This window comes from Homo sapiens, chromosome 1 (assembly GCF_000001405.40).
Source record: "Homo sapiens chromosome 1, GRCh38.p14 Primary Assembly".
Taxonomy (NCBI): Eukaryota; Metazoa; Chordata; class Mammalia; order Primates; family Hominidae; genus Homo; species Homo sapiens.
Window position 1 is genome coordinate 206,763,375 of NC_000001.11, and position 16,692 is coordinate 206,780,066.

Genomic DNA, 16,692 nt, shown 5'->3' on the forward strand with positions numbered 1-16,692 from the left:
CTTTCTTTTCATCTCTGATCTCTTCCCCTTCCTTCTGCCTTGTGCTTCACTCCCAGGGTGGAAGAACCCATTTGCTTCTTCTCTAATTTCTGTCAGTGGCTGCATAGGTAACCACATTGTCATCACAGATTGCAGGGGCTTCTCACCAGTTCCACCTTCCTTACCTCCAAAGCCAGCATCACAGACAAACAGATTTTCATTCTCCACTGTTTTCCAAACTCAAGTGTAAGGGCACAGAGTAGACATGGAAGAGAGGAAATGGATGCTTTTCTTAGAGAATAAAGGCTTGTTGAAAAAAAAATCCCATCAAAACCTCATCTCTGTGCTCCCTGTTCAAAACACATATGTACCTTCATACCTGAGATTTCATTTGGCAGTTATAGCAAACCTGGTATATTAGTCAGCTCAGGCTGCCATAGCAAAATACCACAGACTGGGTGGCTTAAACAACAAAAACGTGTTTTCTCAATGTTCTGGAGGCTAGGAAGTCCAAAATCAAGGTGCTGGCAAGGCAGGTTTCATTCTGAGTCCTCTTCTCTTGGCTTGGAGGTGGCCGTCATCTCACTGTGTGCTCACATGACCTCTTCTTTGAGCACACTTGGGGGTAGTGGGGGGAAGACAGCAAGCTCTCTAGTGTCTTCCTCATAAGGGCACTAATCTCATCCTGAGGGTCCCACCCTTATGACCTCATCTAACCCTACTCACCTCAAAAAGTTCCCCACTTCAAGTACCATCACACTGGGGGAAAGGGCTTTAAAATATGAATTTTGGTGAGACACAAACATTCAGGCCATAGCACCTGGGGAGACGTTTTGCTAGTATTCCAGATGAGAAACTAAGCCTTAGAGAAATAAATCTATTAGAGTGAGCCTATGAGAGAGGACTGGTGGGAGTGTGCATGATGATGGCCTATCCAGGCACACTGAGGCCCACCCAACTCCTCCCCTTTGCCCTGCCAGCTCAAGAGCGCAAAACTATTTCTTCTAGATTCTTAAAAGGTTGTGATTGTTTTAAAATAGGTGCACAAATTCTTGGACACTCCTCCCTTCAAAAGGCAGAATCTAATTCCTTTTCCCTTGAATGTGGGCTAGACTTACTGGTTCACTTCTAACAAACGGAATATAGCAGAAGTGATGGTGTGAGATTTCTGGAATTAGGTCGTAAAATATACTGCAACTTTCTCCTTATTCTCTCTTGCATCATTGGCTCTGGGGAGGACAGCTGCCATGTTGCGAGGACACTCAAGAAGCCCTGTGAAGAAGAACCAAGGCCACCTGCCAACAGCCCTGTGAGTGTGCCATGTTACTCATGAATCCGTTAGCCCAGTCAGGCCACCAGGTGACTGCAGCCCTGGCTGTACTTCTGACAAAGCCTCATTAGAAATCCTGAGATGGAATTCCTAGTTGTCACTCCCAGACTCCTGACTTACAGAAGCTGTGAGATAACAAATGACTGTTGTTTTAAGCAGCTAAATTTTGAAGACAGCAATAGATAATTAATACAAAGAGAAAAGTATTTTATTCTATACTCAGTTCTCCATTCTCCATGTTACCCATGTGGCCAAGCCAGATTGACATTTCTCATGCTCCCAGACAGCCAGTGGGTCAAAGAAGAAATTAAAAGAGAAATTTAAAAACATCTTGAGACAAACAAAAGTGGATACACAACATACTATAAAACCTGTATCTTAATTTTTCATGATACAAACAGAATTATATTAGGAAAGAAGAATGATGCAGTAATTTACCTGTGAAAATGACTTTAGGAGTGTAGGATAATCATTAAGACCACGGACTGTCTTTTAATAGCTGGATGACCAAAGGTAAATTATATAGCTTCTCTGGGTCTCATTTTCACTACATGAAAAAATGGAGATATTAATAGTGCCTAATAGTTTTACCTGATAATTAATGAGCTAATATATATCAAGTACTTAGCAAAGTAGCCAGCAAATGACTTTAGTCAATGTTCATATTGCCATTAACATAAATATCAGGTATACTGGAACAATTATACACACAAACAGATGATAAATTGGAAGTGCAGAGCCTATGTTTTCTCCCAGGTTAACCTGTGATCAACTCATGATTTAAAAAGCTGGGTTAATATGGTTGTTTAGAAACCCTGACTGTCAAATATGATCTACAGAATGTTAGATTATTAAATCCCAATAAAGCAAATGTAACAGAAAAAAATGACTATCAGCTTCCTCTTGGAGAAAACAGCAATAATGCCATCTTATTGCTACATAATACATACCAAATGGCTTAAAATAAGTGACTAGCTTAATAAACTGTAGTTGCTTAATAAATTGTAGCTATCATTAACATCTTTTCAGCTGTACAGCTTTTTTTCAGGTGAGTTTCTGTTTGTTTCAGATGCCCACTTCGCTCAGATGAAATGCCAGGCTCAAACTAAAGTCAGTATGCATTGCCTGGAAGGCTAATGGCCTAAGCCTTCCAGGCCAGGGGACTTGTGAACCCTGAAAATTTAAGACAGGTCTCAGTTAATTTAGAAAGTTTATTTTGCCAAGGTTGAGGACATGTGCCCGTGACACAGCTTTGTCACACAGCCTCAGGAAGTTCTGATGACATGTGCCCAAGGTGGTTGGGGCACAGTTTGGTTTTATACATTTTAGGGAGACATGAGACATCAATCAATATATGTAAGAAGTACATTGGTTCCATCCAGAAAGATGGGGACAACTCAAAGCAGGGAAGGGGCTTCCAGGTCACAGGTAGGTAAGAGACAAATGGTTGCATTCTTTTGAGTTTCTGATTCTTTTCCAAAGGAGGCTATCAGATATGCATCTATCTCAGTGAACAGAGGGATGACTTTGAATAGAATGGGAGGCAGGTTTGCCCTGAGTAGTTCCCAGCTTGACTTTTCCCTTTAGCTTGGTGATTTTGAGGCCCCAAGATTTTCCTTTCACAGACTCAGGATGTCTTCTTCAGTTCAGGATGGACAGCCTCAGAGTAGAGAGCTTCAGGCCCCCTCTCCTTATCTTCTGCTAACCTCCATTCTTACTCCTACCCTTTCATCTCAGAATTTTCGCTTTGATGTTTCCCACTTCCTTCCTATGGTTACTTTAACCGAAGTGAGTCAGGTCTTACTGAAAAACTGACCACAGCCTGTCCGCTCCCAGCCTTCCCCAGACCAGGGCTGCCCAGGCAGAGCGTGAGGGGGACTAGTGTTTACTCAGCTCATTTTTTTCCTCCTCTCTCCTCTAAGTCACGGGGCTTTGAGTAGGGCTTCCCCAGCCACCGTGCCCCTCCCAGCAGACCGCAGTCAGAAGCCAATCTCACATTTGTCTGGTGGCTCAGAGAGGGGACAGAAAGAGCAGCAGCTTATGTCCTTGGCTATCCTCTCAAGTGGGCTAATTTGCTTATTTTCAACTCTGTTGGGTCCAGCCCTGTTGCCTCTGATCTCAGCTCAAAGAGGATTTGGCGGGAGTTTTTGGTTGTGATAACCAATAACAACCAACTATACGCACTGCGAACATCTCCTAGTGCCAGAAGCCCTGTTAGCTCATTATCTTAATCCTCAGGATAACCCAGGCAATTTGTATTCACCCTAAAAACTTCCCCTGGCCGGGTGTGGTGGCTCACGCCTGTAATCCCAGCAATTTGGGAGACTGAGGCAGGCGGATCACTTGAGGCCAGGAGTTCCTAACCAGCCTGGCCAACATGGTGAAACCCCATCTGTACTAAAAATGCAAAAAATTAGCCGGGCGTGGTGGCACATGCCTGTAGTCCCAGCTACTTGGGAGGCTGAGGCAGGAGAATCACTTGAACCTGGGAGGCGGAGGTTGCAGTGAGCTGAGATCATGCCATTGCACTCCAGCCTGGAGACAGGGCGAGACTCCGTCTCGAAAAGCAACAACAAAAACAAAAACAACCTCCAAAAAACCTTCCCCTGTTTACCTTTCTAATTTTGGTACCTACAGAATCTCCCCGTTAGCCTTGAAAATCAGCATGATCTTTAAGGATTTAGGAGCAAATCTTTAAAGGATTGAGTTGTGGGAAGACCATGATGTCTTTGCTACTGGCTTTTGCAGTGAGAATAGCTTTTTCTCTGATCAGGTTTGGAGCCTTCCCTCTCTCCTGGGGGTAGGGGGTAGCTGGCTTCCTTTCTCTGAAATGCAGAATTCATTCACCCACTCTCTTTTGTCTTGGGAGCTTTGAGAGAACAATTTTAGTCAGACAAGAGTCAACTGACACCAGAACATGATGTGAATAAGATACATTTATTTATTCAAAATTAAAATCTGCTATGAAGACAGACAAACAATGTAACATTCCCAGAGGAATTGAATAAATTCTAGTTAAAACTGAGTTCTATTAGAACCAAATTTATTTTTATTTTTATTTTTTGAGACAGAGTCTTGCTCTGTCACCCAGGCTGGAGTACAGGGGCATGATATCAGCTCACTGCAACTTCCATCTCCTGGGTTCAAGCAATTCTCTTGCCTCAGCCTCCCAAGTAGCTGGGATTACAGGTGCGCGCCACCATGCCCGGCTAATTTTTGTATTTTTAGTAGAGACGGGGTTTCACCATGTTGACCAGGCTGGTTAGGAACTCCTGACCTCAAGTGATCCACCCGCCTCAGCCTCCCAAAGTGCTGGGATTACAGGCGTGAGCCACCGCGCCCGGCCTAGAACCAAATTTAGGTTGTTATAAATAACAAGCTGGCCACAGCTTTCAAGAATGAAGTGGTTGGGGAATGAGGTTAGGGGAATCCCTCCGAGACACTGGAAGGTGAATTAATCATCAAAGGGGCTCCCTGGTTTCTCTTCCTAAGAGTATTTGTAGCAGTTAGGAAGCCCCAAGCCCAGAGACAAGATAAATTAGAGGGAGGTCAGGGAAAACAGCTCAACAGCTAGAAAGCGTGGTCAGGCTTGGAATGGAAGCTTCTGTTGGCTCCCCAAAGAACATTTTTTTTCCTCCCTTATGTAACTTATAATTTATCTTAAAACACTCAAATACCATAGTGTGTCACCCTATGGAAACAGCTTAAAAACAGGTGAAAATAATAAATATTGAAAAAAATTATAATATTGGGCTTCTTTCTAAATCGTTCACAGAGAAGCTCAGTAAATAAATAGAAATGGGGGTTGAGGTATCAGAGGTAATAAATATTCTATAAGAGAGGTACAATAAGGTTTCTCAAGGGGCTGGGTCAGCTATCCCAGAGCCCCAGATCCGATTTTGGAGACCTCTAATTTATGTCCTAGAGTCTATAGAGTCGCCACCCTGATGTCTCAGTTTCGTATCTTCATTGTCATGTAGGCTTCTATGTAGTTGATGAAGATGTCAAACTCACTCATGGCTTTGTAGATGCCTTTCTCTTGGAGCTGTGCAGAGAGATAAGAAACATACAGTTAAAATCCTTTCTGGGGACTAAATAGGCTCCCCTCCCTCATGCTCATGGATGGGCATGACCTTGAGTGCAGAGGTTGCTTGTTCTCCCTCACGCTGGGAAGTAAACCAGAGGATAGGCCTAGCTGCCTTGGGAAAGGCTGTGCATTGACCTTCATCTCCTCCAGGCCTCCCCCTAGCAAGGGGAGCATTCATTTTGCAAAGCACTGTCTTCAAAATGATGCCTTTTCAACAATTTTAAAGGTCACGTATTCACATGATGATTATGCAGAGTTTGATGAAAAGACATTAGAGGAAGCGCTTCGAAAGCAAGACGGTGAGAGGAGAGGAGGGAGCCTTTTAAATGTCTGTGTTCTCCCACCAACACACTGAGCAGGCCCTGCCCTGCCGCCCTGACCTACTATGAGAAATTCACACCCCCTGATGTTGGCACTCTGTGCAGTGTCTGTCCCCAGCCCACGAGGAGGACATAGGCCGCACGGTTTCTGGGAAATCAGACTGAAAAAGTTCACGCACAGTTGGAAGTGTGAAACCCCATTTCGTTTGGGAACTGACATTCTCAGGCACCTCCGCAGGTGCGAAGGGCAGATGGAAAGCGGGCTTGAACCAACTCCAGGTTAAGTGAGAATCCAGCTTCCTGCTCATTCTGAGTTCTGGGGAGTCTGGGCTGAACCCCCAGGTGTATTTGTATGTGCACATTTATGTGCCAGCTTCCTGCACGTGTGGGTTCAGCCTAGATTCCCAACAAGCTACTTTCTGTACTTTCTGTTTCCTTTGTCACTCTCCCCAGCATGCAGCTCACTGTGTTCACAGGCTGGCCGGCCAGCCTAACCCGCAAGCCTGCAAAGGCAGCGAGCAGTCATTTAGAAACCCCCAAAGACACTTAACAGAAAACAAATACAATCAAGGCAGCAGCTCCTCACTGGCTGAGCAGGTCATACCATCTGTCAGGTTCCCACACTCTCTCCAATGAAGAATGGGGCCTATTGAGTCCCCACCACCTTCCATGCTTTGGGGTTGGGGAGTGGGCATGGGTTGTGCTCTGCAGACCCTCTCTGCCACCATCCAAGCTCACCTTATTAAAGGCATTCTTCACCTGCTCCACGGCCTTGCTCTTGTTTTCACAGGGAAGAAATCGATGCTGTGGAAGAAAAGAGAAAGTGTTGGTGATCCTGGCTTCCAGCTCCATGTCCATCACACTTAGGGGACAAGCTGGTGGCATCATGAGGAGGCCAGATTTATCCAAATGCCTTGCCTCACAGCTCCCAGAGAGAACTGAGCCCTGCTTCCATGGCCCTGGGAGTTAAATGTATTTCTCCAGGACTCACTCCAAGATGTTTGCAAGGCTTGGATGACAACCCAGGTCTTGGGATTCCTTCCTCCCCCAGAACTCTACAGTATCTCCTGCAGTGCTGAGCGAGGCATTCTTCAGCCTGTCCTTTTCTGCCTCTCTCTCCTGTTCCTCCCCGTCAGTCACAGCCACCGAGGAACACTTCTAAGCATCTGAGGAGGGAAGCTACTGGGACCAAACCCTTCACATAGCCTTGTCCTACAAATAGACACCAACTGATTTTCCAATATTGGTGACAGAACAGGGGAAACCATTAGTAGTGAGGGCATCATTTCAGTTGGAGAAATAAATTACCTGGAGGAATTACTCATAGACACTAGCCTGGGGATGAATAGCCCCCTTGTCCCTTCTAAAATGCCAGGGGAAATCCTGTCAGTCAATTGGGCCCTTCTTAGAGCTTTGCTTTCAAAACATTGAGATTAAAAGAGGTGAATGATGTTTCCTCTGCTTGGGAACCTTAGCTCCCCGCCCAGGGTCTAGTTACAAAGAGGCAGTGGAGGCCTGACTGAAGCTCTGGGCTCCTTTTATGAAGAGAGAGGGGAGTAGTTAATAACCCACAAATGACTCACAAATAACAGGAAAGCTGTTTGCAAATTTCACATGTAAATGCCTAGCAGCCACCCCCAACGCCTGCTCAAAGAGAAATGAGCAAGAGATCTGACTCCAGGAGTCTTTCCTCATTTACAGCTAGCTCTGCCAGTCTGTGTCTTTGCTGTGTCTGTGGATGTGAGTGTCCCTGCTGGTCTGTAGGAGATGGTATTTTGGGGGCAGCTGCAAGGGAAAAAACTGATCTGCTACTTACACAGCGCCGTAGCCTCAGCCTGAGGGTCTTCAGGTTCTCCCCCAGGGAGTTCACATGCGCCTTGATGTCTGGGTCTTGGTTCTCAGCTTGGGGCATCACCTCCTCCAGGTAAAACTGGATCATCTCAGACAAGGCTTGGCAACCCAGGTAACCCTAAGGGCAGGAGCCAAAGGTGAGTGAGAGATTGGCGGAGGTGGCTGGGAGGAGGGGCTGCTGCAACTAGCTTAAGAGGACAGCTTGGTTCTAGCGATCCTCCTTCACCAGAAGCCTCCCCGAAGGGACTGAGCCCTTTGTAAACCCTCTGGCTGCTGGATGTGCTGAGTTAACATCTTCCCACTTCTCCTTTTCAAAGCGAAGGAAACAAACCCAATTCCCTGCAATCAGGAAGCAGAGTCTCCCTTCCCTTAATCATGCTGCACACTCCCCCAGCACCCCGCCCCTGCTCTCACCTTAAAGTCCTCCAGCAAGGACTCCTTTAACAACAAGTTGTCCAGCTGATCCTTCATTTGCTGCAGGAAGAACAAAAGGAGAATGAACTTGAGGTTTGGGGAAATAACTGAAATGCGGTCTTTTTGATGCCCTTTCATTTAGAGATTTTTTTTTTTAAATAAAATTGGCTCTGGCCCAAAAAAATCAAAAGGGGAGTTTTAAAAACAGAGGATTCAACAGTGATGGGACCATCACTTAAATCAGGTCCTCCTCCTCAGAGTCAAGTTATTTAAAAAATCTGGCCGATTTTGAAGGGAAAGCAGAAGCTTGACTCAGTCCTGGTCTTCTTTCTGCGGAGCTACATTCGGCTTTAAGGGACACCTATGTCAACCCTTCGGGGCCTTGAGCCCCCCTCATGTCCTGTTCTCTGCTTTTCTTTCTCCCCACTGTAGACATCCAGTTTAGCTTGGAAAGATCCCAGGGATTAAGAAGCTCCTTCTAATGCAGGTTTCCCTCATGTAGAGTGCTTCCCTAAACCACTGGTCTTTCAGGTCTGGAAACGCTCTAAGCAGAGGCAATTTAAATTTCCCTGCTGCAAGGCATGGGGAGCATCTTCACCTCGAATCAGACATTTCTTTACTTCTCCTAGCCAATAAAGTATAGAGCGCCAGCAGGATCTTATAAGTTTCTCAGCACGAGAGAGAACGCATTTACTTTATAAGGCAGGTTTCCTGCACATTTACTGTATCATCTGGCTTAGCTTAACTCACCAAACCCATGGCTTGATCTAGGATTCTCTTAAGAATTTAAGTTTGGGGGAATAGGTGTTGGGGATGGAGGTGGAGGCGCAGGAGGAGGGTTCTTATAGTTCCAGGAGAATGTCTAGTTCAGGCAGTCCCAGGAAGAGAGAAAGGACAGGAAGGAATCATACTCACAAAGAAAGTCTTCACTCTGCTGAAGGCATCTCGGAGATCTCGAAGCATGTTAGGCAGGTTGCCTGGGAAGTGGGTGCAGCTGTTCTCAGACTGGGTGCCCTGGCCTGGGCTGGCCCTCACCCCAGTCAGGAGGACCAGGCAACAGAGCAGTGCTGAGCTGTGCATGCCTTCTTTTGCAAGTCTGTCTTGTGGTTTGGTTTTGCAAGAGCAAGCCCCTGATGTGTAGACCTTCACCTCTCTGTCCCCCTTTTATATTGTAAGCTCAGGGAGGCCTCTTCATTCATTAAAAAGCCACAATCAAGGTTTCCCGGCACAGGATTTTTTCTGCTTAGAGCTCCTCCTTCTCTAACCTCTCTAATAAACTTAGTTTTCAATTTTTGCATCGTAAGCAAAAATGATTGGTTGAACATGAACTTCTGCATTACAGCTATTTTTAGGATGGGCTACCTCTCTTAGAATAATTTTTTAGCTTCTCAATTAAAAAAAGTTGATTTCCTGGGGAGAACAGCTGTTCTGTGCGCAGAGGCCCTCAGCTGTGGGTTCTCATTCGCGTGTTCCTAGGTCACAGTGACGTGGACAAATTGCCCATTCCAGAATACAATGGGATTGAGAAATAATTGGGTCCCCCCAACCTGGGATGAATACCCAAGACTTCTCCTTGCTAACTTAGGCAGTCACCTTAGGTCTCTGGGCCTTAGTTTCCCCAAGTAAAAATGAGGGGGTGGGCTAAATATCCTCAAAGTTCCCAAGCAGCCCTTCCATTTTACTTTCCAGAGACTGGCTTCCTACAGTACAGGCGGGGTCACAGGATGTGTTCCAGGCTCCTTTACCCCGATTTCATTAGGATTCTCAGGCACATGTTTCCACCTCTTCAGCTGTCCCCCACCCCAACTGTGCTTGGGGGAAGTGGGTAAGAGTAGTCTGCACTTGCTGAAAGCTTCTTATATGCTAGTCAGGTAGTGCTCACCATGACCCCTACCGTCTCTATTTTATAGTGAGCAAACTGAGGCACAGAGATATTACATCACCTGTACAAGGGTACACCAGTGCCAACTGAGAATTTGGTTTCCTCACCCTACTGTACACCATCTCCAGCACATAGAATGAAACCTTGGATTAAATTGGCCTTAGAGTTTCTTTTAGTTGTAAGCTTCTGTGGCTGGAGTCTAAAGTTTAAAAGATGGGGTGGAAGAAGTTGAAATAACAAGGAAAAGAAGTCAGGATTCCATGGAGGCTGGATAGGAGGTCCCTTACTTTCCTCTTACCTATCCCTACTTCCCCTTCCCAAAGAAGCCTTAGTAGTGTTGTCTTGGATTTGTGTGTGTGTGTGTGTGTGTGTGTGTGTGTGTGTGTGTGTGTGTAGAAGGTAAGGGGAGCCAGTTGGGTTGCGGCGAGGAGTGTTGCTCTACCTGGGGAAGGACCGGGGCAGTGACATCAGGACTTCTTCAGATATCTGGAAAGTCTCTGGGGATCCTTTGATTGAGCCTTCACCTTCCCCTTCCACAGGGGCTTTGCCTGCCATTCCAGTTTAGACTGTAACTGGGAGGAACACTGACCTAGGTGCAGGAGGCCTGGGCTCTGCCTTGGCCCTGCCACTCTATAGTCAGGGCAAATCACTCATCCTCCCTGTGTCTGTTTTTCATCTGTCCCAACAGGGCAATAGCACCTGTCCTCCTGCCTGCCAGGGAGCATTGAGCTTAAGTAGCCATGGACCCAGATGGAGGGCATTTCCAGTGTTCTGCTAGTTCTTCACCTTTCTGCATCAGCAATGGGACAACTCCAGTGGCAGCAGGTTCTGAGCTTGCTGCACTAGAGAAGGTCACTCACTGCAAGGGGTGCAAACACCTTGGGGCCCAGCCAGCGTGAAGTGAGTGGGAGGGAGGGATGAGAGGGCCCACGCCCACCCTGTGGATGTCCCTGCTGTGTGACCTATGGATCAGGGTCAGGGGACTGTGGTGTCTCTTCCCAACTCTTCAGGGAGTGTCAATGTAGAAACCTAAGAATCAGGAAGTGAGAAAGAGCCTGCTAGAAACTAGTATGGAGCTAACTCAGAACTTACTGGTCCTGCCAGACTTAGACTGGCTTAAGGGTTCTGTCTGAGTTCTGCTGCCAGGAAGCAGAGAGAAGGGGACCAGGACCTGGGTTTCCCCTTCTTGCACCTTTCTCCTTCCCCCTCGGCTCCTGGGTTTTCTGGGCTGTGTCTGTGTTAGCCTGCAGGTCTAACCCCCTCTCTGAGCTGGGTGTTCCAGAAGTGGACTCAGCATGGGCACCAGGCAGGCCAGGGGTTCTGGACTCTGGGTGAGGCTGTGAACCCCTCCTTCCTTTGTTTCCCATCTTGCCTTGTGCTTACCTCACTAGGAAACCTGCAACCCTACGTGGTTATCATTCATGTACACACCATGCCCTGCCGAATCAGCTTTGAGCTCCCTGAAACAGGACATTGTTTTATTAATCTTTGCGTACTTGGTACTTAGCACCAAGTCTGGCCCTTGGAAGGTATCAGCTATACTTGGGATGGGCATAGAAGAGTGCCCTGTAAGCCTGGAGGGTGCGAGGCTAAGGAGGTGGTCTGGGCACAGGTAAGCATTCAGAAGGAGAGGGAGAGTGACTCAGGGATGCAGGCAGCCTCCCTTCAATTTCCTTATATGAGATGTGTGTGTAAATACACACACACACACATACAAAATGTCAGGGAGAAGGGAGGTATGTAAAAGCCATTTGTACCTTTCTTTCATCTATAATCTGTTAAATAGGGTTGAGGTTAGGATCTGACTTCTTTTTTTTTTTTGAGACAGAGTCTCGCTCTGTTGCCCAGGCTGGAGTGCAGTGGCATGATCTCAGCTCACTGCAAGCTCTGCCTCCCGAGTTCAAGCCATTCTCCTGCCTCAGCGTCCCGAGTAGCTGGGACTACAGGCGCCTGGCACCACGCCCGGCTAAGTTTTTTTATTTTTTTTTGTATTTTTATTAGAGACGGGGTTTCACTGTGTTAACCAGGATGGTCTCGATCTCCTGACCTTATGATCCGCCCGCCTTGGCCTCCCAGAGTGCTGAGATTACAGGCATGAGCCACTGTGCCCGGCCCGGATCTGACTTCTTTATTTGTTCTGAAATGTGTAGCTAATTATCTCAAGCCATTTGCTGAAGATTTGATTCTTTCCCCATTGATTTGAAATTACTGTCCACTCTCATTTCAAAATTTCAGAATTTAAGTGGTTGGAGAGAACCATGGGCAAGTTCCCTGGTGCAAGTCCTCATTTAGCATATGGAGATAACGGCTTCTCCATCAATATGTCTCATAGTATTTCTGTCAAGAGATAGATATGAACATTTGAATAAAGACCCTGTGTCCTTATATTGACAAAGCAACAAGAACAACAAACAGGACTCCTATTTCTCAAGTTTTTGAAGATACCTGTTCATCTGAAAAGTCACTGGGGTCCACGGGGAAAAGTCCCAAGCCCATAGGTCATGTCTGAGACATGAATGCCAACACTCACATGTGAGGAGATTTGGGTTTGGATTTTGGTACAAGGCAAGAGCCCATGAAGAGAGGGAAGTGAGAAGGCAGGCACCTATGGATGGATAGAATGTCAGCCTGGGCACAATTTAGTCCTGTGAATTTCAAGAGGACACAAATGCCACTCTCACACTGTGAGCTTCTTGAGGCCAAAAGGCCTGAGTCCAGTTTGCCCTCAAGCCCAGATGCATAGTAGGCATCTAATCAATGCTTATTATACTGATTTTAAATGAATTTTTCCAGTGGGGGATGTACTGGGAAATCAGAAGGTTGTGGGAAGGGGAATACCTCTCTTCTTCCATCCCTGCTCCAAAATATTCTCTCATTTCTGTATTTAGCTGCAAATGAAGGAAAACCTGAGTAAGCATGGCTTTTAAAAGAGGGGGTTGTATTTTATTTTCTGTCTCACTCATCAAGAAGCCCAAAGCAGGCACTCAGATGTCATCCAGGACCCGTTTTTTCTGCATTCTTGTTCTCCTAACCTTTGTTGCAAGGAGATAGGAGAGATAGGAGGTGGTAAAGTCCAAAGGTTTAAAGGCACACCAACCCAGGAGACCCTAATAATCTTTTTAGGAAGCTCCGCCCAGTAAGTTTCATCACTTTAGCTGCAGAGGAATCTGGGCAGGCAAGAACTGCTGGGGTGTGTGTGTGTGTGTGTGTGTGTGTGCTTATGCAAATAGATTTTGGAGGGTGCATTCTACAGTTTACAAGATCTTATAAAGAATCTGCCTCCCATTAGAGCAGTCATCGGCCAACCTCCCCAACAGCACTTGGGTTTTCCTGTTGAGAGCGGGGACTGAGAGACAGGACTAGCTGGATTTCCTAGACCAACTAAGAATCCCTAAGCCTAGCTGGGAAGGTGACCGCATATACCTTTAAACACGGGGCTTGCAACTTAGCTCACACCCGACCAATCAGGTGGTAAAGAGAGCTCACTAAAATGCTAATTAGGCAAAAACGGGAGGTAAAGAAATAGCCAATCATCTATCGCCTGAGAGCACAGCGGGAGGGACAATGATCGGGACATAAACCCGGGCATCCAAGCCGGCAATGGCTACCCTCTTTGGGTCCCTTCCCTTTGTATGGGAGCTCTGTTTTCACTGTATTAAATCTTGCAACTACAAAAAAAAAAAAAAAAAAAAAAAAAAGAATCTGCCTCCCTTGTCGGGCACGGTGGCTCACGCCTGTAATCCCAACACTTTGGGAGGCCGAGGTGGACGGATCACGAGGTCAGGAGATTGAGACCACCCTGGCTAACACGGTGAAACCCTGTCTCTACTAAAAATAGAAAAAATTAGCTGGGCGTGGTGGCAGGTGCCTGTAGTCCCAGCTACTCGGGAGGCTGAGGCAGGAGAATGGCGTGAACCTGGGAGGCGGAGCTTGCAGTGAGCCGAGATCGCGTCACTGCACTCCAGCCTGGGCGACAGAGCGAGACTCCGTCTCAAAAAAAAAAAAAAAAAAAAAAAAAATTTAGCTAGGTGTGGTGGTTGGCGCCTGTAGTCCCAGCTACTTGGGAGGCTGAGGCAGAAGAATGGCGTGAACCTGGGAGGCGGAGGTTGCAGTGAGCCGAGATCGCGTCACTGCACTCCAGCCTGGGCGACAGAGCGAGACTCCGTCTCAAAAAAAAAAAAAAAAAAAGAATCTGCCTCCCAGCTACTCTCATGCTAAGCAAAATGGCAGCCTTCTTGGTGTAGTTACCCCATGCCTTACTGCAATTCTGCAGCTCAAACCCAAGAGTGGGGAGCAGGCTAGCAGCCTTGTGAGGGTGGCTCTGGAGCTGCAGAGGGAAGGTTCAGGGATCCGGGCTTGCTGGACTCTGGGTTTAGACAGCTTGTTGGGCAACACGGTCAGCCGGCAGAGAGCAGGCAGGTTGACGATGCAGGCAGAGAAGGTGAGACCGTGCCCATCTTGGGGATGGGTGACAACTGTCCTGATGAAGAAGCCCCTCCGGGCTTGACTCCTATTTGCCATTAGTAGTTATTTTTTAAAGCTGATAACGGGAGTTTCATTTCTTCTTATCCAGGACATTTAGTGTGTAAAATAGCTTTGCCAGCTTGAAATTTCTAGTATTCCCTCGAATAAGCTTCCTCAGCTCCTAGGACAGAGGCTTCCTCAGAAGCTGTGCTGCAACAGACCCCAATGCCTATCACACACCCAAAGTGTGGCCAGTTTGGGGTGCAAGGAGACAGGAGTCTGTGAGCACTGTATTCCTCTGGGCTTTCCTGACATTGGCTTTGATAGTGTCTGGGGTACTTCAGAATAAACGCCTGGTGGGCCAGAAGTTTAAGAGGAGCCCGGGCTGGGGCTGGCCCTTAGGTGGAATGGAACAAGGGTTATGCAAACCGGATTAAGCGCCCTTCCGAGGATCATGGCCGGCAGACACTGCAAACCACAGATGAGCGGAAGGGCTGATCTTTGGGCAGCCAATGTGGAATTCCCCTTTGTGCAACTATGGCACCAAATCAGGCAATTTGGATTTTCCTTAGGGGATGGACACTGTGCTCTGTAACTTCTCATATGAGAAATTTGGCTTATCAGGGACCAGGACACCAGGTGTTTGAGCCTTGGCCACCCAGAGGACCATAGTTGTTTCTGCTCTGTCTGCATGACTACCTAGGATAACTAGTGGGCTCCTGAGTGTGGGGCACAAATGGATTCTTTTAGCTCCAGGACTGTCCCTCTGGTGCGCTTTAGTTTGCTCCAGTCTCCACTGGATGGCTGGCACCTCCAACCCAACATATCCAAGCAGGGCTGGGTTTGTAGATAAGTGACTTCTGCAGTCACACAGGGTCCCATGACTAAAAAAGTCCTCCCCTTACTCTGCTACCACCATCTTGAAATTCTCAATAACTGTTGAGCAGGGGGTTCCACATTTTTATTTTGTACTGTCTTCCCCTGCCAATTTATGTAGTTGATTCTGTATCTGAGAGTAAAATCATCTCTCTCTGGTTTCACCTTCATCCAGTGCACCCTCGCTCAGTAAATGGAACTATCAATTAACTCTAGAAATGATTTGTTGGTCCCTCCCTCTTCCTTGCCAATCTATGTTCAATCTATCACCAGAACCTCCACATTTTTCTTCATAAACATTTCTCTAATCTACTGATTTGTCTCCATTTCCATCATCACCAGCAATGACTGTCTGGTTCAAGCTACTATCTGTTGGTAGAAGAGCTGAGGCAGGACTGGCTTGTCTGTCATAATATAAAAGAGTCTTGGGAGATGTCCGGGGTCCAGGGTCTAAAACCGCTCGTGGCCTTTGGAACACCAAGCTCTGTGCCAAAGGGTAGAAGGCTGCCCTGCTGCACCACAAATCTAAGCCCAGGGCATAAAATCCCTCGTGGCTTGGATGGAATGTGCACAGACTTGTTGGTTGCTCTCCCAGGCTCGTAAACATGCTCTCCATTATCTTGAGCAGCAGAGCATATTCTATATGTGTCAAAGAAAATGCTAAACCATCACAGCTATGCTTGATGCACCACTACCTTTCTACCCCCACATCCTCACGCCCTCACCTGTTTACCCCCACGTCCTCACCACCTGCTTCTTTGTTTGATCACCAATAAATAGTGTGGGCTCCCAGAGCTCAGGGCCTTTGCAGCCTCCATACCAGTGTTGGCCCACTGGACCCATTTTATGCACCCTTAACTTGTCTTTTCTCATTCCTTTGACTCTGCTGGACTTTGTAGCCCCCATGGCCTAGTGTTGGGTCTAATCACCCCAACACTGTCTCATCTCTCCTGGACTCCAAAATAAATGCCAAATTGTTATTCTAATATCCATTCTCTAGACCGTTCTCCACGTTGTAGCAAGAGTAATTATTTCCAAGCACCAATCTGATCATGACTCTGTTGCTACTTGAACCCTTCCATGGCTTCCCACTTTCCCTCTCTTGGTCAAATAAGGACTCATATTCTAATGTTTTCTATAACTTCCTTTATCATCTGACACTGCCTATCTCTTCTGCTTCAACTTGCGGCACTCTTCACTTTCTACTTCCCTCTGCACTCCAGCCTCATTGACTTTCTTCTTCTTTTTTTTCAAATGATCCGCATGCTCTCTCTCTCTCTTTTTTTTTTTTTAAAGAGACAGGGTCTTGCTATGTTGCCCAGGCTGTTTTTGAACTCCTAGGCTCAAGTAATCCTCTTGCCTCAGCCTCCAAGTGGCTGGGCTTACATTGCACCAGCCACTATGCCCAGTGATTTATCCCCTCTCTCTCCTATCACAGGGCCTTTGCACATTTAGTTCTCCCTTCCTGCTCTCCTCCTGTCTTCATCCT

General features: G+C 46.9%; 2 protein-coding genes across 6 annotated transcripts in view, besides 5 other annotated features; one reads left to right on the plus strand and one right to left on the minus strand.

Annotated features, from left to right (window-relative positions):
• Positions 404 to 602: a silencer, noted in NCBI's record as "fragment chr1:206937123-206937321 (GRCh37/hg19 assembly coordinates)". NCBI's record gives its function as "represses an EF-1alpha promoter that drives an FKBP-Casp9 reporter gene in an ReSE screen in phorbol 12-myristate 13-acetate-treated (for megakaryocytic differentiation) K562 erythroleukemia cells {active_cell/tissue: K562(+PMA)}" and the evidence as "EXISTENCE:reporter gene assay evidence [ECO:0000049][PMID:32094911]".
• IL10 (interleukin 10) lies at positions 4,228 to 9,120 on the minus strand. 4 transcript variants are annotated; one of them, NR_168466.1, is made up of 6 exons: positions 8,897 to 9,120; positions 7,982 to 8,041; positions 7,533 to 7,685; positions 6,708 to 6,945; positions 6,455 to 6,520; positions 4,228 to 5,354 (listed from the first exon to the last, which is right to left on the minus strand). NR_168466.1 is itself a non-coding variant. In NM_000572.3 (5 exons), the coding sequence occupies exons 1-5, from the start codon at positions 9,059 to 9,061 to the stop codon at positions 5,262 to 5,264; spliced, it is 537 nt and encodes a 178-aa protein (NP_000563.1). In that variant the 5' UTR covers positions 9,062 to 9,120; the 3' UTR covers positions 4,228 to 5,261. The 4 variants fall into 4 exon arrangements, 2 of the variants coding, with proteins under 2 accessions (NP_000563.1, NP_001369553.1); NM_000572.3 differs by lacking the exon at positions 6,708 to 6,945; NR_168467.1 differs by lacking the exons at positions 6,708 to 6,945; positions 7,533 to 7,685; positions 7,982 to 8,041; positions 8,897 to 9,120 and adding an exon at positions 7,025 to 7,229.
• Positions 5,890 to 5,999: an enhancer, noted in NCBI's record as "active region_2418". NCBI's record gives its function as "activates an Ori minimal core promoter by ATAC-STARR-seq in GM12878 lymphoblastoid cells {active_cell/tissue: GM12878}" and the evidence as "EXISTENCE:reporter gene assay evidence [ECO:0000049][PMID:35858748]".
• Positions 7,399 to 16,692, plus strand: part of IL19 (interleukin 19) — a 72,209-nt gene continuing 62,915 nt past the window's right edge. The window contains exon 1 of one of the 2 annotated variants that reach the window (NM_153758.5): positions 7,399 to 7,704. The gene's annotated coding sequence lies outside the window, so the exon portion shown is untranslated. The remainder of the gene's footprint in view (positions 7,705 to 16,692) is intronic. The other variant, NM_001393490.1, reaches the window with a different exon arrangement.
• Positions 7,560 to 7,749: an enhancer, noted in NCBI's record as "active region_2419". NCBI's record gives its function as "activates an Ori minimal core promoter by ATAC-STARR-seq in GM12878 lymphoblastoid cells {active_cell/tissue: GM12878}" and the evidence as "EXISTENCE:reporter gene assay evidence [ECO:0000049][PMID:35858748]".
• Positions 8,749 to 9,370: a transcriptional cis regulatory region, noted in NCBI's record as "chr1:206945468-206946089 region (GRCh37/hg19 assembly coordinates) targeted for CRISPR interference". NCBI's record gives its function as "positively regulates IL10 gene expression in BJAB lymphoma cells {active_cell/tissue: BJAB}" and the evidence as "EXISTENCE:mutant phenotype evidence [ECO:0000015][PMID:33828297]".
• Positions 8,831 to 9,370: a transcriptional cis regulatory region, noted in NCBI's record as "chr1:206945550-206946089 region (GRCh37/hg19 assembly coordinates) targeted for CRISPR interference". NCBI's record gives its function as "positively regulates IL10 gene expression in anti-CD40- and anti-IgM-stimulated BJAB lymphoma cells {active_cell/tissue: BJAB(+anti-IgM and anti-CD40 for 4hr)}" and the evidence as "EXISTENCE:mutant phenotype evidence [ECO:0000015][PMID:33828297]".

Bases quoted from the DNA above. Each gene is read 5' to 3' on its own strand.
- IL10 (NM_000572.3), bottom strand. From the start codon at position 9,061: ATGCACAGCTCAGCACTGCTCTGTTGCCTGGTCCTCCTGACTGGGGTG. The intron at 6,521-7,532 runs GTAAGTAGCAGA...TTTCTTCCACAG, and splicing joins GGCTGAGGCTACGGCGCTGT to CATCGATTTCTTCCCTGTGA. The intron at 5,355-6,454 runs GTGAGCTTGGAT...CTCTCTGCACAG, and splicing joins TGAAGAATGCCTTTAATAAG to CTCCAAGAGAAAGGCATCTA.